This window comes from Homo sapiens, chromosome 7 (assembly GCF_000001405.40).
Source record: "Homo sapiens chromosome 7, GRCh38.p14 Primary Assembly".
NCBI classification, from domain to species: Eukaryota; Metazoa; Chordata; class Mammalia; order Primates; family Hominidae; genus Homo; species Homo sapiens.
Window position 1 is genome coordinate 141,000,921 of NC_000007.14, and position 24,760 is coordinate 141,025,680.

Genomic DNA, 24,760 nt, shown 5'->3' on the forward strand with positions numbered 1-24,760 from the left:
TGAGGCAGGAGAACGGCGTGAACCCGGGGGGCAGAGCTTGCAGTGAGCCGAGATCGCACCACTGCACTCCAGCCTGGGCGACAGAGCGAGACTCTGTCTCAAACAAACAAAAACCAAAAAAACTAGCTGGGTGTGGTAGCGCACGCCTGTAGTTCCAGCTACTTGGGAGGCTGAGACAGGAAAATCGCTTGAACCTGGGAGGCGGATGTTGCTGTGAGCCAAGATGGTGCCACTGCACTCCAGCCTGGGCAACAGAGCGCGACCCTGTCTCAAAAAAAAAGAGTGAAGCAGAGTGTCTAGCAAATGGTGAAGCACTTGACAAATGATAGTTACTGGTATAATAATACTCAGAGAGGTTAGAGCTACATCACCAGGTCAGGAAAAGACAGTGGGACTTTGAGGGCTCAGTGTTGGTTTATTCAGGTTATGACTCTGAGGTTGCCAGGTCATGCACCATAGCTCTCACTAAGCAAAGTTTTTATGGTTGCTTGTGGGTCTTTGTTCATACCATTTGCTTCAACCCTTTCTCTCTGCTTGTGAAAATCCTACATTAAGAGTGTGATGAAAGGTACAGGGTTTGTCACCTACCAGGGATGGAGAATAGAAAAAAAAGAAGGTACATGTTTTAGAGTCAGCAGTTTGAATTTAAAACTTCAGTCTAGACATTTATAGCTGTGTGATCTTGAGCATTGGTCTCCTTATCTGCAAAATGGGGATGTTTATCATATGGGGGGGCGTCAAATAAGATATAGCCTGCAAAGCACAATGTATTAAACACTCCAGAAATGCTGGCCTTATCTGTATTTATTGCTGTCCTGCTTGGGAAGTCATTCCTGATGATGCAAACATTGACCTCTTTTATCTCTAACCCTCTTTTTAAATATTAACTTGTTACTAGTTTGGTGCTTAACCCACTGGCCATTTCTCACAGATATTCTCAGACTGGAGCTCTTTTTAGATTAATCTGTATCCTTAGTCTTTCAATTTCTGTTTAGAATAGTTTTTATTCTAAACTCAACAGGCCAATTGTTTGTGGCTCTATCGGGAAAATGATTCTGCACTGAGCCCAATTTAGATTGTCTTACTGAGACAAGGCTAGGTGGAGCTCGGTCTTCTGCAACAGGGACACAGAACATTCTCCATAAATGAATCCATCCTTTCAGAAAACACATATTTCCTTAAGTAGAATGGAAAAGGTCTTAGAATCTACCTTGGTTTAACTCTACTTTCTACTTTAATGTGAATCTGTAATATTGCCACATCTCCAATTAAGTTACAAAATTGCATCTGGCTAGTTTTATAACCCTTCTCTCCATTTTGTTGCCTTTATGGCATTTAAAAAACATTTCACTGTTTTAAGTTCAGCATAAAAGTTTTACTGTTTATCCAGTTATCTTAGTATCCAGGGCTGGACAGTCTCTCTGTTTTATCTAAGTATCCTTGAATGTAATACTGTTTGTTTTGCTGCTTCTTTCTCTCTTTTTTTTTTTTTTTTTTTTAAGAAATGCTTTCTTCTGAACCTTTCTTGAGTACTTAACGAAAGCCATGAAGACAGGGTTGGCAGGATAACAGATGTTTCCCCCTATTTATTGCTCCTGAAGTTTGTTCCCTGCTCTAAATCTCTAAAATTAGGCACATAGGATCTTTGGGAGAAATGTGTGAATAAAGAGAGACGGGGTGAAGCAGGCAGAATTTCAAATTTTGATTTATTCTTTCTTGGAAAATGATTTATAAATACAAGCATTATGGTTATATATGTTTAAATATATGATGCCTTATGTTTATTTTGAAACACACACATATATGGTGCTTAAAAAATAAACTTATGGAGCCCATAATTACATAAATAATAAGATGTTACCTCTCATCTACCTCCTCTTCCTGAACCTATCATGCTGCTTGTAAACGTGGGGAACTTTATATTTTTAGGAGATACGTGTCAATGCTGCCACAGAAAATTGCGCTAGTAAGACACAGCAGTACTTACTAGTCACATAATGTGCTATATGTAAAAGTTTTTAACTTTTTATAATTTACAGAGTTCTTTTCACAAATATCTTATTTCATTAATCCAGTGAAGCATTATGATTTTATAGAGAAGGAAAGAGGTTCAGAGAAGTAACTGACGTCACATAATCAGTAAGTACACTGTATCACAAACCCATGACTTTTGAATCTAAAACCCAGTCTTTTTACTATGTTATGCTGAAATCGAGGGCAAAATGGTCTATGCACACTGATCCCCACAGGTTAGAAAGCACCAATAGTTTAGGTTTTGACCAGAGAAATCCAATTAAACAAACTGGCTAGTCTAAACTTGGAGTTAAAGATTTTTTTCTGATTACACTTAGTCACCATCTTAACCATTGGTCACTGTTGTCCTGAAATTTGTTGACTTCCCTGGTGTCAAGAGTTAACTTTTCCTTATCTTCTATTGATACCTTCCAGCTGGTCCATCGTACTTCTGTACAGGCTGTTTTGAGTCACACAGCTTGCTCTATCAATTGAAGGTATAGCTTATGTACAAATGTATTTTAGCTTTCATTTCTGATTTTCAGCCTGGAGCAGTGGCACACTAATCTACTTCTGCGTTATCTACAAACTTCCCTGTCAATCATTGCCAAGGCTCACTGCAGGGTCAGGGTCTGAGATCTCACTGAAGCTCTTCCATCGGCAAACCAATACATCGATTCTTTACTTGTTTTCCGACTCAGGTCTGCTGTTAGAATGTAATGCAGTTATTCTCTTTAAAATATCATGCTAATTCTCTTAAGTTCCTCTTACATTCAGATCTTTCCCAAAAGCTGGAGATCACATAATTCAAACATCTGCTGAGCTACATTGGGTTCAGGCTGAGATCCTGTTTCTCAGCTCAACATCCTGGGGTAGTCATCCACCTACACCTGGCTCAGCTGCATTGGCCAAGAATAACAGTGCATCTGCACTTTTCTAAGCACGTTTCTGAGATCTTGCCAATACTTTGTAATACACACATGCTCATTCACACAGTCTTAGGGACTAAGTCTATTTGTCTCTGTATCCTCTACAACTATCACGTGTCGAGCACATGGCAGGTGCTCAGTAAAAAGTTCTAAATGGGCTGGGTGTGGTGGCTCATGCCTGTAATTCCAGCACTTTGGGAGTCTGAGGTGGGTGGATCAGGAGGTCAAGAGGTTGAGACCATCCTGGCTAACACAGTGAGACACCTTCTCTACTAAAAATACAAAATATTAGCCGGGCGTGGTGGTGGGCGCCTGTAGTCCCAGCTACTTGGGAGGCTGAGGCAGGAGAATGGCGTGAACCCGGGAGGTGGAGCTTGCAGTGAGCTGAGATTGCGCCACTGCACTCCAGCTGGTGAGAGTGAGACTCCGTCTCAAACAAAAAAAAAGGTCTAAATGAATGAATTCTCCTTTTGCTGGAATTCACTTCTACCACATACAAACCACCCAATTTTATTTTATTTTATTTTTTTAAACAGGCTATAAAATAGGCCCTAGCCATACCATCTGGATTAGGTATCTTTAAAAATAGCATTCATTTAAACATATGTACTGGGAATCTTTCTACTTCAGGAATCATTGAGTGTTACAGAGAAAGAAAACTGTGGCTGGAGTAGCTGCTATACATACTCCAATAAATACTATCGCACTAAAATGCTTTTATATTTTGATTATTTTTTGAATAATATGTTTGAATATTGACACTATTGTACACTTAAATATGGTTAAGATCATTAATTTTATGTTTTTACTACAATAATAAAAAGTTATTAAAAAATTACTGGACATGCTAAAGATTCAGAACAACTGTTGGAAAAAAAAATCAGAGAAGCCTTCACAATTTTTTTTTTGAGACAGAGTCTCGCTTTGTTGCCCAGGCTGGAGTGCAGTGGCACCATCTCAGCTTACTGCAAGCTCCGCCTCCCTGCCATTCTCCTGCCTCAGCCTCCCAAGTAGCTGGGACTACAGGCACCCACCACCACGCCCGGCTAACTTTTTTGCATTTTTTAGTAGAGACGGGGTTTCACCATGTTAGCCAGGATGGTCTCGATCCCCTGACCTCGTGATCCACCCGCCTCGACCTCCCAAAGTGCTGGGATTACAGGCGTGAGCCACTGTGCCCGGCCAAGCCTTCACAATTTCTTTGGAAACTCATTGCTGGAATACAATAAAACCAGCAGCGAGCTACTCAAATCTATACAACAGTCATCCCTCATAGAACTTCTAGTTATGTTCAAGCTTTTCCACAGAATTTCCAAAGCCCTTCATGATCTGGCCTCTGTTTTCTTACAGCCAACCATGAACAAACTCAGTGTTTCTTGAACAGACAATTTCTTCATACCTTAGGGCTTTGCAAATAGTACTCTCTGCCTCAAACCCCTTTCTCACCATTTTCCTTTTGGCAACCTCTTATTTATTCTTCAAGGTTCAGCTTAAATATCATTTTTTTTTTGAGATGTAGTCTTGCTCTGTTGCCAGGCTGGAGTGCAGTGGCGTGATCTCAACTCACTGCAACCTTTGCCTCCCGGGTTCAAGCGATTCTCCTGCCTCAGCATCCCGAGTAGCTGAGACTACAGGTGCATGCCACGACGCCCAGCTAATTTTTGCATTTTTAGTAGGTGGGGTTTCACCATGTTGGCCAAAATGGTCTCGATCTCTTGACCTTGTGATCCACCCACCTCGGCCTCCCAAAGTGGTGGGATTACAGGTGTGAGCAACAGCGCCTGGCTTAAATATCATTTCTTTAGGGAAGCTTTCTTTAAACTCCCTAATGTGATTTGGGCTTCTGGCTATCTCTCTCTGCATTCATCCATCCATCCATGCTCTTATAGAAGTCTGGCTTTTTCCTTTGTAGCATGTAATACAATTGTATGTAATTATGTAATATTAGTCCCTCCCACAAGACTGAAACTTACATGAGGTAGGGAGTATTTCTCTTGCTAACCACGTGTATTACCAGGGCCCCAATATCTTGTACAGAGCAGGTATTCAATACTTCCTTTTAAAAGATACTTACTCTACAAATTCATCTTAATAGATTTCTCAAAGGAGTAGGTGAAGACACACACAAAGTTTGTGAGCTTGGTGGTGGAGACAGTGGCTGAAAGGCCCAAGATGAAAGAAGTTTAGGGCTGGGTGAGTCAGTAAGCAAGAAGGGAGAAATGAGGACACTATAGGATGCTCACTTAATGAGGTTTCCCCTCCATTCCCCCAGCATCCCATCCCACCCCAAACAAATCATCAAACAATAACTTAGGTATTTATTTCATTAGAGAATCAGGTAAACCTCACATTACACGGCCAAGGCCAAGATAATTTTGCACAGTTAGAATGTGTTCAAGAAACCAGCCACAATGTAACCGGATTAGATTTCACCAAGGAGATGACTGTGTTCCTCCAAATAAACTTCATTTAGGAAGATGACATTCCTCCAATAGGTGGAAAGACAATAAATGCACTTTCTTCTCTCCGCCACTGAGGAAGAAAGTCTCCCTCTTGAGGGACCAACACTATTTCCTTTTTGCTGCTCTTTTCCCTTCTCCTTTCTTTGGTTTCTCCTTTCCACGAAGCTTCTTTAGTCGTTTTTGCTCATCCATAAAATCCTGATGCTCATCTCTGAATGAAGAAGGAAAAAATAATTAACCAGTTATTTTTACGAGTAGAAAAGTACACTAATCTAGCACGCACTGCTCTCTTAGGTCATTCTGGTTATCGATCTTTGACTTTTACAAGTTAGCCACATGCTCAGCTTGGTGAACAAAAAGTATAGGGAGTCCCTAACACAGAGATGCGGTGTATTCCAAAAGTTCACTTGTAAGTCCGTTTCCCCTCACAGAAACACTGCCACAAGCTGCAGGGAAATTCCCAGGCCAGCCTACATAAACCTACATAACAATGACACAATACTAATGATTACCCCAAATTTCCCTGCAACACTAAGACTAAACAGAGAGGAGACAAAGTGGGAATCTGCTTCAATAGCTACACAGAGACCCTGACTGCCCTAGGAACTAGCATCTACTCAGAATGGGGTGAGGTCTGGAGGAAGCTCAGCCTGGCCAACATGGTGAAACCTTAGTGGCAGCAGGTAACTCACACAAAAAGGCTGCTGGGGAAAGGCTCAGGCAGAAGGAAGCCAAATCAAAAGACAGATACTAAAGGAATCAAAGCAGCCAGGACTACGTAAGTATGTGGATGGCACAGAAGTTGATGATTGCTTATATTATAAAAAAAAGTCCACATCTTAAGCCCAGATACCTAAAGATTGGTATGGTGTTTAAACATGTAAGCTCTGGATTCCATGTGAACCTGGGTTCAAATCACGGCTCCACCATTTACTAGATCTGTCACCTTGGATAAGTGGCCTTACCTCCCTGCACCTTAGTTTCCTAACCTGTAAAGTATGGATAATAACAGTGTATGAATCAAATGTAAGAGAGGGGTGTGCTGAGCTTAAGTTTTAACTCTCTAGGCTATCCATGAACATCATGGACAGTATACAACTCTTTGGGATTAGTGGTGAGTGTCCCCAAATAATTCTCAACAGTGCAGCTGGTATAATTCTTCTAAAATATATGTCAGATCATGCTACTCCTGTTCATAGCCCTGCAAATAGTTCCCCATTTCAACCAGAGCAAATGCCATTGTCCTTACTATGGCTTCACAGCCCCTTGCAATCCGTCTCCAGTCCCACACCCTCCCGGTACCTGCACGCCTCCTGGAAAGGAACACTCCCACCTCAAGGCCTTTGCTGTGCTCTTGCCCCTCTGCCTTGCAAACTCTTCCCCAAGTCCTACTTGGCTCACTCACCACCTTCAAGCCTCTGCTTAAACCTCAACTCCTCAACGAGGCTGACCCTGACTGTCCTGTTTCATCCTGTAATCTAGCCTCTCCCCACCTACTGCAGGCCCCGTCAGCACTCTGGATCCTGCTCAGCCGGCTCTACTATTTTTTTCCACAGCATGTTCAACTTTGTAACAGATCCTATAATTTACTTATTTTTTTTCCCCCTCTTCTGTCCCTCCTTCATTCTCATCAACCGTTGGACAGAAAGAAAGCTTTCTGGCGACTCTGTCTCTGTTGATGATACAAGCTAGGTACCTGGTTAACTGAATGAATCAATTGTTTCTGAGAACTGGTGCTTCCCTCCCTCTTTTGCAGATCTCTGAATAATATTTTCTTTATTGGAGACTGTCTAGTTTCATCCTGCCTGATGCCACAGGAGGCCTAGCATTAGAGGTATCATTTACCATACCTAGTGACTACGTGAAAATAATCTTGTTTTTCTATGGATAACTATTTTTCCCTGTCCCCAAAGATAGTTAAGTCTTTATTTTTCAAACAAACAGACAGCAGCAGCAAAAAGATCAATTAAAATAACTGAATGTGATTTTTTCATGGGTTATAATCTTCTCCTCAGGATATCTGCCTCCCAATATTTTATTTTGGGTTATAATAAAATTAGTTTTTATTTTCTGAGCCCAGACTAATGGCAAGAGAGGTAGTCCCAAAGCAATTCCAAACATTCAAAACATGTCATAGATTGTAACCTCTAATGTTAACCAAGCACATCTATTATGTTCACTGCTGTTCCCCTAGTGCCATCTTAAGTGCCTGCACGTGGAAGGTACGTAAGAAATATCCACTGGATAGTGAATGTACCAATCTTTAGTGATCTGCAATGAATGTTGTGCTGTACTATTAATTCTATTGTATTAGAATAAATGGTTCCCAATAATTTTAGTATTGTTGCCCAAAGACAACTCCAATTACAACTTGTTAAATTTTTAAAAAGATGGTAGGTATTTTAACTTTATACAATTATGTACTATTTGAATTCTTTTGTAATGGGCATGTATTAGTTTGGTAATTAAAAAAATAATTTTTTTTTTTTTTTTTGAGACCGAATCTCGCTCTGTTGCTGGAGTGCAGTGGCACGATCTCGGCTCACTGTAACCTCTTCCTCCTGAGTTCAAGCGATTCTCCTGCCTCAGCCTCCCAAGTAGCTGGGATTACAGGCATGTGCTACCACACCCAGCTAATTTTTGTATTTTTAGTAGAGACGGGGTTTCACCATGTTGGCCAGGCTGGTCTTGAATTCCTGACCTCAAGTGGTCTGCCCGCCTTGGCCTCTCAAAGCGCTGGGATTACAGCTGTGAGCTATCATACCTGGCCAAAAAAATAATTTAATGAGAAAGATCACACAGGTATTTGATTTTTTTTTTTTTTTGAGATAGAGTCTTGCTTTGTCACCCAGGCTGGAGTACAGTGGCATGATCTTGACTCACTGCAACCTCCATCTCCTGGGTTCAAGCAATTCTCTTGCCTCAGCCTCCCAAGTAGCTGGAATTACAGGCGTGTGCCACCACGCCCAGCTAATTTTTGTATTTTTAGTAGAGACGGGGTTTCACCATGTTGGCCAGGCTGGTCTCAAACTCCTGACCTCAGATGATCTGTCTGCCTCGGCCTCCCAAAGCACTGGGATTATAGGCCTGAGCCATTGTGCCTGGCCTGATCTTTTTTTTTTTTTCAGAGATGCACACAGTTCTAAGCACCTACTCCCTAGACATACACACACATACAAACACATGGTGTTAAGAACCTGTGTGATTTACGTATTATCCTTAAAGGCAAACTACAGCTTATCTAGACCAAATTAATATGTCAAAAAGGGTACAAAATAAAAATGCCAGAAGACAGTAGGAAGAAATGTCAACAAAAATGCCACCAGAAGAGAAAGAAGGCTCCCACATACCAGTTAAGCAGCAGATCAGGTGTCGGTCAGGGACTCTGTTCATCTGATAACAAGAGCCCACTGCCCTGGCAACCTTGGTGTTTCTGAGGCTTTCTTCCTCAGTACTTGGACCAGTTTTTCTCTGCATTGTTTTTTTTTTTTTTTTCTCGAGATGGAGTCTCACTCTGTTGCCAGGCTGGAGTGCAGTGGCGCGATCTCGGCTCACTGCAACCTCCGCCTCCCAGATTCAAGCAATTCTCCTGCCTTAGCCTCCCGAGTAGCTGGGACTACAGGCGTGCACCACCATGCCCAGCTAATTTTTGTATTTTTAGTAGAGACAGAGTTTCACCAAGTTGGCCAGGATGGTCTTGATTTCTTGACCTCGTGATCTGCCTGCCTCGGCCTCCCAAAGTGCTGGGATTACAAGCGTGAGCCACTGCGCCTGGCCTCTTGGCATCCTTTTTAGAGTGCTCTTAGATTAACAAATGATTAAACACCTCTCTACAGCTCAGTATCTATTCAACATTAGTCATGTTGTAGACATAATTAAAATATATCTTCCAACAAGCATGAATTTCCTTTTTTTTTTTGGTCTCTCCATTATGGGTATTTTGAAAGAAGACTTTCTCCTGCCAACTGTACCTTTTGAACTACCTGGGCTCTATTATAAGAACAAAACTACAAGGATAGAAAGGCTAATTTTTTTCCTTTTCTGATCTACTGAAAAAAAGTCTCTCATAGGTCCCTCTTTGTGTTTGTCATCACCTGTAGAGTCCAAGAAATCGGAGCGTCTGCATGAGTTCAGCGTAAGTGTGGTGATTTGGATACCAATCATAAGTCTCCTTCTTCTTGGCCAAGGGCAGTTCACTAAACAGTTTCACCACTTTCATAGACTTGGAATTAGTAGGCCTGGTGACTTCACCAAATAGCCGGGCACTGAGACGAGACATGCGGAAGGCATATTCTGAAAGGGAGGACATTTCTTGAGTGGCAAGGAGTTAGAGTTCCTATTGAAAATGAGAAGAAAGTTAAACAGGTTAGGGTAAGAAATTCCAAGATTAGCTAATGAATAAGTTAGAAAATGCAAACACAGCAAGCCACTCATGGATCAGTGCAGTGTTGGCAGGATATGCCTTGGAGTGGAGAAGTATCCACAGTCCAAATGGCTATTTCCTTTCCATGCTTTACAGCTGCGATTTTTGCACTTCGTGTTTACATGCTATTACTTCCTTGCTGTATTGCCTCCTTTGCAACCAACTATTTTGTGATTCACCAGGTTATTTACTGACAGTCAGTTTACCTATTTGTAGGCTGGGGATGAAGAAGACAGGGAAACAAGTTATCCTAATCCAGCATCATTATACCTTCAGAAAACACCCACCTAAGCAATCTGCAGCATTAATATGCTGACTGCTTGCCATCAAAAGGTGTAATCATGGCAGAGACATAATTATGTTGTCTTTACTATCAGTCCTTTGAACACTGTTCTCCTCAAGGGCTCCAGAAGGCTCTGAGAGCTGCTAATGAGTTATGAGGTCATTTGGCTTCTAGGTTACTGAACTGAATTTTGCCTAGAGACTGAGAGCCATTTGGGAAAAACAGACAGTAGCCCTATAAAAATAAATCCAATAGCTCAAAAGATCCATTTTCTTACTAAATAGAAGGCACGTATGAATTGTAAGGTTACTTGCTGTATCCTCCATCTTATATATTCTGCTTTAATGCAAACTACCTAAGTTCTTATCAGCTGGAAACAGTAGCTTTTTCTTCAGAGACATACAACACTGAAATGGGTATAAGAATGATATCCGTGATATGCACGAATTACAGCTAACAGACATAAAAAACTATACAGGGGATACATAAAAATCAAGAAAGCTGCTGGTGGAATAACTATCTCAACTCAGTTTAGACCAGACGTAGGGGTTATTGTTGGCAGAATATGCCAATTTATGAGAAATTTTAGTAGTGAGATGAGAATCTTTGCTGACTCAGAGACTATCCTGGGAAACAGTTCAGCTGAGATGAAAAGGTGCTGATATTCAAGCAGGAAAAAGGCATAAACTTTGAAAAACCAATGGGAGAAATGTACCAAAAACCCTCCTACATAAAAATGGTGCCAAGTGAATTTCAAAATAGTTCTTGTAAGAAAACAAACCGTGTTTAAATTAAGGAAGTTTTAATGCCTGTTTCAAGATCCATTAACAGAGGAGGCTGGGCATGGTAGCTCATGCCTATAATCCCAGTACTTTGAGAGGCTGAGGTGGGAGGATCGCTTGAGGTCAGGACTTCAAGACCAGCCCAGGCAACATGGAGAAATCTTGTTTTTACAGAAAAAAAAACAAAAAACAAAAGAAAATAAGAAAATTAGTCTGCTATGGTAGTGCACACCTGTAGTTCCAGCTACTCGTGGAGGCTGAGGAGGGGGACATCACTTGAGCACAGGAGTTTGAGGTTACACTAAGTTATGACTGCACTACTGTACTCTATAGCCTGAGTGACAGAGCAAGATTGTGTGTCAAAAAAAAAAAAAAAAAAAAAGCAGAGGCTGATCTCAAACCACTGTCAACCTCAAAACCATTCAGAACACCAACCAAGCAATTTTGGGTCAATAGTGCCACCTGAAGGCTGGCAACGGTAGAACTGTCAGATCCAACGTCCACCCCTCCCTCCCCACCATCTGCAGATCACCTACAAGCCTGTTCTTCCTTTTCCATTCAGCATTCTCAGTTTCCTGATTCACTTCTTTGCCAACTCTGGTTGGGGGTGGGGTTGTTAGGACTAGGGTTATAGTCTCAAGGTGAAAAAAATTCATTTAGCAGTTTAATGTATAAACAAATCAGTGCCATAAACCTCTAAAAAGCCTTGCAAATGTCCAGAGTCACCTAGTTTCTTTGCATGCTTTTTCTCTTCCTTTGCCCTTTAAAGTTACCTTTTTCCAAACATTAGATTAAAAAACAATAGTTGCTTCATCAACTTTGCTTTGTTTGCTTAATTACCATTGTGGCATCAGAATATATTTCTGCTGTAATTGCACAGTATTTCCACAGTTAGTTATCTGTAAGCTGGTATGGGAACTATCAGTTTGTTACAGTGTTTTCAGGAAAATCTGTTCTGAATTCCAAGTCCCTTTATTTGTCAATGAAGAGGCAACAGGGATTCCTGAGGCCTAGGTTTGACTACTGGCTCTGTCACTTAATCCTTGGGTTATTGTGAACAGTTACTCATCTTCTCTGAGTCTCCTTTTCTGAAAACAAAGCTTGCATGACTAGTGCGAAAATGAGTAACAGTGGCACTGAGTAGTAAATGGTAACTTACAAAAAAGAACGAGCCCAGATCTGTAAGTTTGGTTTTCATATATTCTACATAGACACATTTGTTTATTCCTTGTTCTTAATCATGTTTAAGAAAAAAAAAAAAAGAGAGAGAGACAGACAGATAGATACTCCATATAGTAAAAACTTTGTGCCTCCCTGGAATGATGACCTCATTTACAAAGACTGACAGCCAGAGAAACATAGGGAGAGGACCAGCACCTTGATAACTTGACAAGATAGCCAGGAGGAGGAAGGGACTCAGTAGGACAGTAGTCACTGAAGCCATCACAGGATGCTGCTGTTATGTCCATGCCCATTTTGGAATGTGGCAAATTACTGGGATACATAACTTGTAAGTAAAAAGGTCACACTAGAATAGGCTGGAACATGGTTATATCATAAAATCCAAGTCCTAAAGTTTTATGACAGAGAAAGGGAATAAGCCTTTTCAAACCTGAATCCCTTACTAGAAACAAAGGCCCACTTGCTAAACAGGAGGAAACTGAAAGTGGTTTTAACAATTACCAATGACACTGCTTTGTTGTTTCCTTCCACAGTGCACAGACACATGTCTCTCACGAAGAATAACACGGGAGCTTTTCTTACAACGTGCATGTCAATTACATTTTGATTCACATGAAACCATTCTCGGGGAGTACAAGTCACTTTAAGTGTTACCTTTCTTTAAATGTGAACTAAAGAAAACTGTACTCTCATGAAAAAAGTTAACTGGAGCTGAAAATGCTAAGCAAAAACAAATTACTCAAATGTGCTGAGCAAAACAAATTAAGCCCACATGAGAAGAAAATTCCCATATTTTTACTTTGGCATAACAGGGCAAACTTCTTTGATCTTTTTGATAGGTCTGATGCATTTAAAAGATTATTTCAATAAGTGGCTTTGTATTAGGTTTGCCTTTTCTCTTTGAAAGGTAAAGATGAAGTGCAAGAGTTCTTAACCGGGATGTGCTTCAGCGTTTTGAAAACAGTGGAAGTGTACATCTGTATGCCGATATGTGTATGTATGTGTGTGTGTAAATTGTTCTGGGAGAGAGCTTTCTCCAGTTTCCCAAAAACCATTGGTTAGCAGAACGCACCAGCTGCAGAATAAAAAAGCTGGTTGGAATCTCGCCTCTGCCTTTTAATGGCCACGTCGTTTTTGTAATGGTGCTTATTCTCTGCCAGGTTCTCTCATCGACTACACGAGGACAGTCATACTATCTGCGATGTGAAGCTAATATGCAAAATTCACGGCACAGTGCCCACCCTAATAACCATCAGGATCCAAGGAATTCACATACAGTGTACACACGTTGTCATAGAAACAATCTAAACATAAAAACAATCTCAACAGAATGCTTAAAAACAAAAAAACCCGGTACCGATTATTTTACGGAGTCATAGAGGCATCAACGGCACTGAAAATGTATTAGCTGCATTCAGTTCATCAAGAACAATCTTCAACTCCCTCCACCTGACTCGATCATGCCTGACTGTGATGGAAACTGTAGTATTGTCAAGTCAACCGATGTTTGACTCGGGAGCGCATTTCGCAAATATTTTTCTTAAATATCACCTTACCGTATTTTTCTTAAGGTGGTTACAAAATTAATCTGCAGCCCACCACCCAAAGCTACAGTGCCGAAGGCCGTGTGATGAGCAGAGAAACTGAGCCTTCTACTGTTAACCAATATGGAAGAGAGTAATTGCGCCTGAGAGGAAATTACGGCAGCGGAAACGCGGGTATTCTACGTTTAAGAAATCCCCCAACTGAGGCAGAAAAAGGCCAAGTTATTTGTGTGATGCACGTGAACCGCCCGAGCTGGTCACTAATGAAGTGGATTCGCCCTATTCCTGGCGACTCTACAAGGTTGGAGACCCCCGTAGACTTCGCAGCCATCGCCCCTTGCTGCAGACCCCCAAAGTCACCGACAGCCTTACCTAGACCTGACCTTCCTCACCCACGCGCCCTCGTCCCGGAAGGCCCGCCCTCTACCCGGCTCCAAGCTCGCGCAGGCAACTATTACGGGGAGCAGTAGAGAAACGGAAGCTTGGCAGCTAGAGCGGAGCCCTAGTGAACGACCCGGAGTTACTGGCTCCCCCTCCTGAGGCCTCCGAGGTGTACCTGGCGCCTGCGCAGTAAGGCTAGCGCCGCCGCCTGTGCGGAGGACCCGGGGAGGTGGTGGGCTGGGGAGAGTTAGAAAGGTCTGGCTCTCCTGGAAGGGCATGCACGGTTCGGTAGTATGTTTTGGTGGGAATGGCTACAGACCTGCCTCCAAAAGCTCTGAAGCAATGGCGATGCGTGTGCCGTGTGGTCTTTCTGACCGACTTGCGGCGCCATCCCCCTCCCCTTCCATCTATCTGCTCATCTTCTAATAGTTAATTAGGATCCCTAGCTGCAAGCCTTCCTTGCTACTGGGTTAGGAGCGCTTTCCCCCATTGACCCAGGAGCTTCTTCAGGGAGTAGGGGATGGAACGTTTGTCTCCTCAGTAGTTATCTTAGACCTCGCTGGGCAGATAGTAGAAAGCATTGTGAGTATTTCACCCCATACTAAATCTGTTTTCAAGCAAGCCACATCCCATAGGCATTGTATGCAGCACTTACTCAATGTTTGATAGTTTGGGTGAGGAAACTGTACTCGTTTTCTGAGTATCGTTCAAGGCATTTTATAAATATTTCAAAATGTACCCTGGAATTAATATCGGTAGTGAGTTGCCTACCTAGTGGGTATTGTATTTACACCCTCTTTCCTCCTACAGAATTTACTTTTAAGTTAGAATTTGACGTCTAATCAATCTATGCTATAGGATTTGCTTTTATCAAGTTAAGTTTTGACATGTTATCAGCCTTATATGATATAGTAAACAGCCTTATAAAGTTGGGTCTAGTGACTACATTTAAGTTTACAAAGGGGTAATGAGTATCCTATACATGGCTACAGTCCAGAAAAGAAGTCCTAAGGAGCGAAACTCCTGGGAGAAATTTCGTCTTGTCTTTTGTACTTGTTTCTGTGGAGTTGGCTTGTTTTTATGTAATGGCCACTGAATCATATAAACAAGAAGACTTCCTTTACGTGTAAGCTGCTGGTTTAAAGCCAAATTTTAATTGGCTCGAGGCAAGAGCTATATATATGTGTGTGTATATATATATATACACACACATATATATATTTTTTGCATAAACCTTGTTGGCTTCGTTTTGTATATCCTTCCTGTTTTTTCCTTTTCACGTATGAATTATTGGTGTTATCAATGTTTTGTGAATTACTATAAGCTACCATAAATCTTTCTTGAAACATAGCTAGGTATATAGAGTTTCAGGTGACTGTTTAGGTACTTTGCACTATCACTTTTATTAAGTCAATTTCATGGGGGTTCATATTAGTTTCCTGAGGCTGCTATAATAAAATACCACAAACTTGGTGTTGTAGAGCAACTGAAATTTATTATCTTACAGTTCTAGAGGCCATAAATTCAAAATCAGCATCACTGGGCCAAAATCAAGATGTTGACAGGGCTGTGTTCCCTCCAGAGACTCTAGGGGAGAATCAGTTCTTTGACTCTTCCAGCTTCTGGTGGCTGCTGGCATTCATTGGCTTGTGGCCACATCACTTTAGACTTCAAGGCCAACATCTTCACATCTCTGCTCCCTTTTCACATTGCCTTCACTATGTGTGTCAGACTTCCCATTGCCTCCCTTTTAGGAATGTGTAATTGCATTTAAGGCCCATGGAGCTAATCCAAAATACTCTCTCAATCTGAAGATCCTTAATTTAGTCACATCTTCAAAGGCCTTTTCCCCGTATCTGGTAACATTTGCAGGTCCCAGGGATTAGACTCTGTTATCTTTGGGGAACAGTTTTAGCCTACCACAGGATTAGAAGGAGTAAGCCATTGAAATTGGCCAATCAGAGACTGTTACTTATCAATAGGAAAGTTGGAATATTAGGGATGGAAAAATGAAATGAATAGAATAAAATTGAACCTCCTATGGATATTGACTTCACCAGACCTTGGCTTACCCATTTACACCGCCAAGATAATGCAGTTTTAAGAGCACTTTTTATAATCAGAGATTGCTCTATAAATCAGATATTTCCTTATATATTTCTATTTTCTGTAGTCCTGTGTTTTCCAATTGTGTGCTGTGAATCATTAGTTGGCTGTGAAATCAATTTAGTGAATAGAGACCAGCATTAAAAGAAAGACATTAGGATAAAAAATATCTAAATGCATCACATGTAGTAGGGGTAATTATTGTTTCATGAAACAATATGTATATGTGCATTGGATCATAATATAAATATATTTCTTGCTGTAGGTTGTGGTAAAATGGAAAGCCTCCACTTTAAGTGATTTCATTATTCATCATACTCTTTGGCAAATGTTCTTTGTCATTAGGCAGGGCAAGAATTAAAGCTACATCAACTTAAAGTTCTTATGGTGTGGCATAGTCCAAGGGGCAGGGGAATATTTATTGCTTTAAGTAAATCAATTTACAGATACCGTATTTTCATAAGTATTCTTTCTTAGCATCATGTAGGTTCTTTTTTACATCTGCATTTACAGTAGTTCTTGGACCTTACAAAAGAAAGGTATATCCATCACTGAAGGTGTGAGGGATATACCTTCCAGGATGACAGATGAAAGGAAGATTCAAAATGTTTTGGAGGAAGCTTCCTCTAATGATCAATCAAGGCACCATCAACCCTTCTTAGGCTTCATGTCTTTTCCTATCTTACATATATTCCACTTAAGGGTGAAGTACGGCTGTCAGAAATATGGTAATTGGTTTGTTGTGATTTTCTGAAATCAGATATACTGTGTGAATGTTAGTGGTAAGAGTGACAGTAATTTTCCTTTAACCATCAGATGTCTTCCATCCTCTGTTGAAAAGTGCAGTGTTTTTGAAGGAGAATCTGGTAAGAGCAGAGCAAAGCAGCACTGAAGAAAGTATCGAAGCCAATTTTTTTTCCCGTATATTTAAACCTAAGCAATTCTTTTCAGCTATTCTCAGTACTTCTCCATAGGATATAGCATTATCTGGAAAGAAAAGCAACTCTGAACAGCTGAAGTAGTAGAGCTTTGTGACAGATTTTTTTTTTTTTTTTTTTTTTGGAGAGAGTCTCACTCTGTTGCCCAGGCTGGAGTGCAGTGGCATGATCTCGGCTCACTGCAACCTTCGTCTCCTGGGTCCAAGCAATTCTTGTGCCTCAGCCTCCTGAATAGCTGGGATTACAGACACCTGCCACCACGCCCAGCTAATTTTTGTATTTTTAGTAGAGACAGAATTTTGCCATGTTGGCCAGGCTGGTCTTAAACTCCTGACCTTAGGTGATCCACCTGCCTCCATCTTCCAAAGTGCTGGGATTACAGATGGGAGCCATCGCCCCTGGCCGTGACACTGATCATTATAAATATCATACAGATCATTTTCAGGTACCTTCATATTTTTCACATTGCACTGGAATAAACTGTGCAAAAGTCATACATAATTTTATTTTAGATTTGGTGTGTGTTGTTCAATGAATGTGAAAATGTATTGTGATAATCACTGATACAGTTCACCAAATCTTTTCCATTTCCTTCCACTTTGGCTAGATTGTATTTCATGGGAATTCTGAGATTGGTTAGGATCATGGTTAGGACTTTTTCTGGCCAATGAGTTATGAGCAGATGTGAAGCGTCACCTTCCGATTAAGGTGGTTATTTACCCTGATGAAACTCCAGAGCTCTCCTTCCCTTCTGAGACAGAGAGTTGTTGCACTGTCAGCCTGTGCTCCTGAGTTGTTATGAAGGGCTGATCCTATTCCACCAGCCATATTGGAAATATAGCTTTTGTTAGAAATGAGCCGTTGTTGTTTTAATTCACATGCCTCTGTTTTAAGTCATACAAATTTGTTGTTTGTTATTGGAGCATGACCTAGCCTATCTTGTCTGATACACTTATTTTTATCAAATTCTATTATGAAATAGAGAAATACTTCAATCCTGACTTTCTTTCTGCCTCTTATTAACAAAAATAAAATTATGCTTTAGCTTCTAGGCTGATTACTTTTTAAATAGCATATTCTTTTATTCTTCATTAAATATATAGGAAACATTTTGATTATGATTTCCAAAAAATTGTTTAGAGCTATTCTAGAATATTTATATATTATTCTTCTTCAGTTATTCCTAAAAGCTGAAAACCAAAGTTCAATATACACACAGACATACTGAAGGAATATTGTCTGTTATACTCTAATTCATAAATAACATTCATCTCACACATTATGTTTTATTATTAGGAAATAAGTAATGAGAAAAACCATATAGATTTATTCTTGGTTTTATGGCTTATTATAAAAATGGATAAACCAATTCTAATAGTTTTGATATCATTTTAATCTTGGCTGCTTTTAATAATTGAGATTATGAGATGTATTTGATAATTTCCTAGTTTAAAAAAACTAAGAATACATATTCTAATACATTTAGTTAAAAATGAGGTTGGAAAGTAAATCTGACCTAGATGATTGGTTTGACAATGAGGATTAACTTTACTAATTAGATTATGTGGCTGATGGGTGTTTTCTATAAATTGAATAAGCCATATCTACAGCTCCAAGGTTTGGCAAAAATGTATAAAGTGCATGATGATATAAATCATTTTATAAAAGATATTTTGTATCAAAATTAACAATATATCCATTTTACTAACCCCTTGATGGGCTCAAAGATCCTCCCACCTCAGCCTCTGGAATAGGTGAGACTACAGGTATGAGCCACCATGCCTGACTACTGTTTAAAGTTTTTGTAGAGACTGGGTCTTGCTATGTTGCCTAGACTTGACTCGAACTCCTGGACTCAGGTGATCCTTCTCCGCTTGGCCTCCCAAAGTGTTGGGATTACAGGTGTAAGCCACTGTTCCTGGATAAAACAAGGTGATTCTAAATGAAAACAGAACAAATATAGATTTTGCAAATCTTGGTGTTGCCTTTTTGGTATGTTTCCCAAACATTGTGAAAGCGAATGACTGTATAATACATGCTCTTAAAAGTCAGGTTGAAAGTAATTCTTTGTTTTCAGAAAAAGAAGAAGGGACTAGGTAAGTTTTTAGCTGACAGATAATTAAATAATTTTTGTGATAGATTTCTATGTACCTTTGTCATATAACTCAGAGAGAGTTCAAATAATTGGGTGATATTGTCATACGCTAAAACATGGATGAACCTTGAGGACATTATGCTAAGTGAAATAAGCCAGTCACTAAAAGACAAATATTGCATGGTTCCACTTATATGAGGCATGTAAAGTGGTCAAATTCTTAGAAATGGAAAGTAGAATGGTGGTTGCCAGGGGGTGGAGGGAGGGAGGAAGGGGAGTTGTTCCATGGATACACAGTTGCAGTTTTGCAAGATTAAAATTTTCTAGAGACCTATTGTTCAACAATGTGCATATAGTCAACACTACTGTACTATACACTTAAAGATGGTTAAGATGGTAAATTTTATGTTCTGTGTTTTTTTTACCATGGTTTAAAAAAATTGTGTGATACTGCTATAACACAGGTTTTCCCATTTCCATCCACTTATGTGAACACATTTTCTCAATGCTTACATCCATTTAAGTGAAGATAGTAATAGGATTGATGCTGTCCCCTCCAAGCAATTAAAAATTCATATTTGACTATATTAACTACATGGGGAAAACTTCATCTATCAAGGGATATGTTAAGAAGTTTTTTGTTTATAAGTGTTCATCAAAATTCATGATATATTTAAGTCATTTTGATCATTTGTGTACAAAAAGTTGTAATGATAACCCAAAGGGAAAAATATTTTCAACACATACTTTTAGTCATAGAAGTTAAAAAAGTTAAAATTCAATTGACAAATATTTTGTTGCAGGAAAATATGACACATGGTCAGTAAAAGCTTTCAAGCATAAAAACATATTAAGATAAAGTAACATTTTGTGAGAGGAGTAGAATATAACTTCAAGGAGAAAAAGCAATGATGTAAACTGGCCAAGTGCAGTGGCTCATGCCTGTAATCCTAGCACTTTGAAAGGCTGAGGCGGAAGGATCTCTTGAGCTCAGAAGTTCGAGAGTCTAGGCAACACAGGGAGACCTTTTTTTGCAGTTCAGTAGTTTTGTGGGGAACAGGTGGTGTTTGGTTACATGAATGTTTTTTTTTTTTTGAGACACAGTCTCACTCTGTCACCCAGGCTGGAGTGCAGTGGTGCAATCTTAGCTCACTGCAACCTCCGCCTCCCCAGTCCAAGTGATTCTCCTGCCTCAGCCTCCCGAGTAGGTGGGACTACAGGTGCGTGCCACCACACCCGGCTAATTTTTTGTATTTTTAGAGATGGGGTTTCACCGTGTTAGCCAGGATGGTCTCGATCTCCTGGCCTTGTGATCCACCCGCCTTGGCCTCCCAAAGTGCTGGGATTACAGGCATGAGCCATTGCGCCCGGCCCTACGTGGATCAATTTTTTAGTGGTGATTTCTGAGATTTTGGTGCAACTATCACTCGAGCGGTGTACACTGTACTCAGTGTGTAGTCTTTTATCCCTCACCCCCACTCCTGCCCTTCCCCCTGAGTTTCCAGAGTCATAATATCATTCTTATGCCTTTGTGTCCTCATAGTTTAGCTTCCACTTATAAGTGAGAACATATAATGTTTGGCTTTTCTTCCTGAGTTACTTCACTTAGGATAATAGTCTCCAACTCCATCCAGGTTGCTGTGAATGCCATTGTTTTGTTCCTTTTTATGGCTGTGTAGTATTCTATGATATATATATCACATTTTCTTTACCTGCTCGTTGATCGATGGGCATTTAGGCAGGTTCCATATTTTTGCAATTGCAAATTGTGCTGCTATACACATGCGTATGCAAGTATCTTTTTCATGTAATGAATTATTTTCCTCTGGGTAAATACCCAGTGGAAATTTTGTTTGCTTTGTTGAAGATCAGTTGGCTGTTAAGTGTTTGGCTTTATTTCTGGGTTCTCTATTCTGTTTCATTGGTCCATGTGCCTCTTTTTATACCAGTACCATGCTGTTTTGGGAATTATAGCCTTGTATTAATAGTATAGTTTGAAGCTGGGTAATGTGATGCCTCCAGATTTGTTCTTTTTGCTTAGTCCTGCTTCAGCTATGTGGGCTGTTTTTTGTTCCATATGAATTTTAGGATTTTTTTTCTAGTTCTGTGAACAATGATTGTGGTATTTTGATGAGAAGTGCATTCAATCTGTAGATTGCTTTTGGCAGTATGATCATTTTCACAATATTGATTCTATCCATCCATGAGCATGGGATGTATTTCCATTTGTTTGTGTTGTCTGTGATTTCTTTCAGCAGTGTTTTGTAGTTTTCCTTGTAGAGATCTTTCACCTCCTTGGTTAGTTGTATTCCTAAATATTTTATTTTATTTTAATTTATTTTATTTTTTGCAGCTGTTGTAAAACAGCTCTTGAGTTCTTGATTTGATTCTCAACTTGGTTGCTGTTGGTGTATAGCAGTGCTACTTATTTGTGTACATTGATTTTGTATCCTGAAACTTTACTGAATTCATTAATCAGATCTAGGAGCTTTTTGGATGAGTCTTTAGGGTTTTCTAGATATATGATCATATCATCAGTGAACAGCAACACTTTGACTTCCTCTTTACTGATTTGGATGGCCTTTATTTCTTTCTCTTGTCGGATTGCTCTGGCTAGGACCCAGTACTATGTTGAATAAAAGTGGTGAGAGTGGACATCCTTGTCCTGTGCCAGTTCTTAGGGGGAATACTTTCAACTTTTCCCCATTCTGTATAATGTTAGCTGTGGGTTTGTCATAGATGGCTTTTATTACCTTAATATATGTTCCTTCTGTGCCAGTTTTGCTGAGGGTTTTAATCATAAGGGGATGCTGGATTTTGTCAAATGCTTTTTCTGCATCTATTGAGATGATCACATGATTTTTATTTTTAATTCTGTTTATGTGGTATATCAAATTTATTGACTTGCATATGTTAAACCAACCCTGCATCCCTGATATGAAACCCACTTGATCATTGTGTATTATCTTTTTGATATGCTGTTGGATTCAGTAGCGAGTATTTTGTTGAAGATTTTTGCATCTATATTCATCAGGGATATTGATCTGTAGTTTTCTTTTTCTTTCTTTCTTTTATTTTTTGGTAAGTCCTTTCCTGGTTTTGGCATTAGGGTAACACTGGCTTCATAGAATGATTTAGGGAGGATCCTCTCTTTCTCTATCTTTTGGAATGGTTTCAGTAGGATTGGTACCAATTTTTCTTTGAATGTCTGATAGAATTTAGTTATGAACCCATCTGGTCCTGGACCCTTTTTTTGTTGGCAATTTTAAAATTACTGTTTCAACCTCATTACTTGGTTTTGGTCTGTTTAGAGTTTCTATTTCTTCCTGATTTAATCTACAAAGGTTGTATTGATTTTGTCTTTTCAAAGAACCAGCTTTTTGTTTCTTTTATCTTTTGTGTATGTGTGTTTTTTTGTTTCAGTTTCATTTAGTTCTGCTCTGATCTTTGTTATTCATTTTCTTCTACTGGGTTTGGGCTTGGTTTGTTCTTGTTTCTCTAATTCTTTGAGATGTGAGCTTAGATTGTCAGTTTGTGCTCTTTCAGACTTTTTGATGTAGGCATTTAATACTCTGAACTTTCCTCTTAGCACCGTTTTGCTGTATCCCAGACATTTTGATAGGTTGTATCACTATTATCATTCAGTTCAAAGAATTTTTTAATTTCCATCTTGATTTCATTGTTGACCCAAAGATCATTCAAAAGCAGATTATTTAATTTCCATGTATTTGTTTTGTTTTGAGGGTTCCTTTTAGAGTTAATTTCCAATTTTATTGCACTGTGATCTGAGAGAGTACTTGATATGATTTCAGTTTTCTTAAATTATTGAGACTTGTTTTGTGGCCTATCTTATGGTCTATCTTGGAGATTGTTCCTTGTGCTGATGAAAGTAATGTATATTCTGCAGTTGGGTAGAATGTTCTGTAAATATCTGTTAAGTGCATTTGTTCTAGGGTATAGTTTAAGTCCATTGTTTCTTTGTTAACTTTCTGTCTTGACTTGTTTAGTGCTGCCAGTGGAGTACTGAAGTCTTCCACTGCTATTGTATTGCCAGCTATCTCATTTCTTAGGTCTAGTAGTGATTGTTTTATAAATTTAGAAGCTCCAGTTTTAGGTGCATATATATTAAGGATTGTGATATTTTCCTGTTGGACTAATCCTTTTATTTTTATATAATAATCCCTCTTTGTCTTTTTAAACAGTTGTTGCTTTATAATCTGTTTTGTCTGATATAAGAAAAGCTAATCCTGCTCCCTTTTGGTTTCCATTTGCAAGGAGTATTTTTTTCTATGCTTTAACCTTAAGTTTATGTGAGTCCTTATGTGTTGGGTGAGTCTCTTGAAGACAGCAGATATTTGGTTGGTGGATTTTTATCCATTCTGCCATTCTGTATCTTTTAAGTGGAGCATTTAGGCCATTTATATTCAACATTAGTATTGAGGTGTAAGGTACTGTTCTCTTCATCATGCTAGTTGTTGCTTGACTACCATTTTTTTCATTGAGTTATTGTTTTATAGGCCCTGTGAGATTTATGCTTTAAAGGGGTTCTATTTTGGTGTACTTCAAGGTTTTGTTTCAATATTTACAACTCCTTTTAGCATTTCTTGTAGTGCTGGCTTGGTAGTGGTGAATACTCTCAGCATTTGTTGTCTGAAAAAAACTTTATCTCTTCTTCATTTATGAAACTTAGTTTTGCCAGCTACAAAATTCTTGGCTGATAATTGTTTTGTTAAAGGAGGATAAAGATAGCATCCCAATTCCTTCTGGCTTGCAGGGTTTCTGCTGAGATGTCTGCTGTTAATCTTATAGGTTTTCCTTTATATGTTACCTGATGCTTTAGCCTCACAGCTCTTAAGATTCTTTCCCTCATCTTGACGTTAGATAACATGATGACTGTGTGCCTGTGTTATGATCTTTTTGCAATGAATTTCCCAGGTGTTCTTTGAGTTTCTTGTATTTAGATGTCTAGATCTCTAACAAGACCAAGGACATTTTCCTTGATTATTCCTTCAAATATGTTTTGCAAACTTTTGGATTTCTCTTCTTCCTCAGGAGGGCCAATTATTCTTATGTTTGGTTGCTTAACATAATCCCAAATTTCTGGAGGCTTTGTTCATTTTTTAAAATTCTTTTTTCTTTGTCTTTGTTGAATTGGGTCAGTTAGAAAGCCTTGTCTCTGAGCTCTGAAGTTCTTACTTCTACTTGTTCGATTGTATTGTTGAAATTTTCCAGTGTATTTTGCATTTCTCTAAGTGTGTCTTTCATTTCCAGATGTTGTGATTGCCTTTTCTTTATGATGTCTGTTTCTCAGGAGAGTTTTTCATCCATATCCTGTAGTGTATGTGTGTGTGTGTGTGTGTGTGTGTGTGTGTGTGTGTGTGTGTGTGTGTGTTTGAAGGAGTCTCGCTTTGTCACCCAGGCTGGAGTGCAGTGTCATGATCTTGGCTCACTGCAACCTCTGCCTCCCAGGTTCAAGCAATTCTCCTGCCTTAGCTTCCCGAGTAGCTGGGATTACAGACACATGCCACTATGCCTGGATAGTTTTTGTATTTTTAGTAAAGACAGAGTTTCCCCACATTGGCCAGGCTAGTTTTGAACTCCTGACCTCAGGTGATCCACCCA

At 39.6% G+C, this 24,760-nt stretch overlaps 1 protein-coding gene across 2 annotated transcripts, besides 6 other annotated features; it reads right to left on the reverse strand.

Moving 5' to 3' along the window:
• Positions 1-1,689: 1,689 nt before the first annotated feature.
• MRPS33 (mitochondrial ribosomal protein S33) lies at positions 1,690-14,032 on the reverse strand. Of its 2 annotated transcripts, none has more exons than NM_053035.3 (3): positions 13,991-14,032; positions 9,499-9,740; positions 1,690-5,615 (listed from the first exon to the last, which is right to left on the reverse strand). In NM_053035.3, the coding sequence occupies exons 2-3, from the start codon at positions 9,711-9,713 to the stop codon at positions 5,510-5,512; spliced, it is 321 nt and encodes a 106-aa protein (NP_444263.1). In that variant the 5' UTR covers positions 9,714-9,740; positions 13,991-14,032; the 3' UTR covers positions 1,690-5,509. The 2 variants fall into 2 exon arrangements, with proteins under 2 accessions (NP_444263.1, NP_057155.1); NM_016071.4 differs by lacking the exon at positions 13,991-14,032 and adding an exon at positions 13,631-13,759.
• Positions 12,471-12,540: an enhancer, noted in NCBI's record as "active region_26785". NCBI's record gives its function as "activates an Ori minimal core promoter by ATAC-STARR-seq in GM12878 lymphoblastoid cells {active_cell/tissue: GM12878}" and the evidence as "EXISTENCE:reporter gene assay evidence [ECO:0000049][PMID:35858748]".
• Positions 13,683-14,328: an enhancer, noted in NCBI's record as "H3K27ac hESC enhancer chr7:140714403-140715048 (GRCh37/hg19 assembly coordinates)". NCBI's record gives its function as "activates a minimal SCP1, AML or CMV promoter by ChIP-STARR-seq in primed H9 embryonic stem cells {active_cell/tissue: H9 hESC(primed)}" and the evidence as "EXISTENCE:reporter gene assay evidence [ECO:0000049][PMID:30033119]".
• Positions 13,791-13,840: an enhancer, noted in NCBI's record as "active region_26786". NCBI's record gives its function as "activates an Ori minimal core promoter by ATAC-STARR-seq in GM12878 lymphoblastoid cells {active_cell/tissue: GM12878}" and the evidence as "EXISTENCE:reporter gene assay evidence [ECO:0000049][PMID:35858748]".
• Positions 13,905-14,213: a silencer, noted in NCBI's record as "fragment chr7:140714625-140714933 (GRCh37/hg19 assembly coordinates)". NCBI's record gives its function as "represses an EF-1alpha promoter that drives an FKBP-Casp9 reporter gene in an ReSE screen in phorbol 12-myristate 13-acetate-treated (for megakaryocytic differentiation) K562 erythroleukemia cells {active_cell/tissue: K562(+PMA)}" and the evidence as "EXISTENCE:reporter gene assay evidence [ECO:0000049][PMID:32094911]".
• Positions 14,361-14,560: an enhancer, noted in NCBI's record as "active region_26787". NCBI's record gives its function as "activates an Ori minimal core promoter by ATAC-STARR-seq in GM12878 lymphoblastoid cells {active_cell/tissue: GM12878}" and the evidence as "EXISTENCE:reporter gene assay evidence [ECO:0000049][PMID:35858748]".
• Positions 23,935-24,135: a silencer, noted in NCBI's record as "peak6793 fragment used in MPRA reporter construct". NCBI's record gives its function as "represses an SCP1 promoter by STARR-seq MPRAs in K562 erythroleukemia cells {active_cell/tissue: K562}" and the evidence as "EXISTENCE:reporter gene assay evidence [ECO:0000049][PMID:32103011]".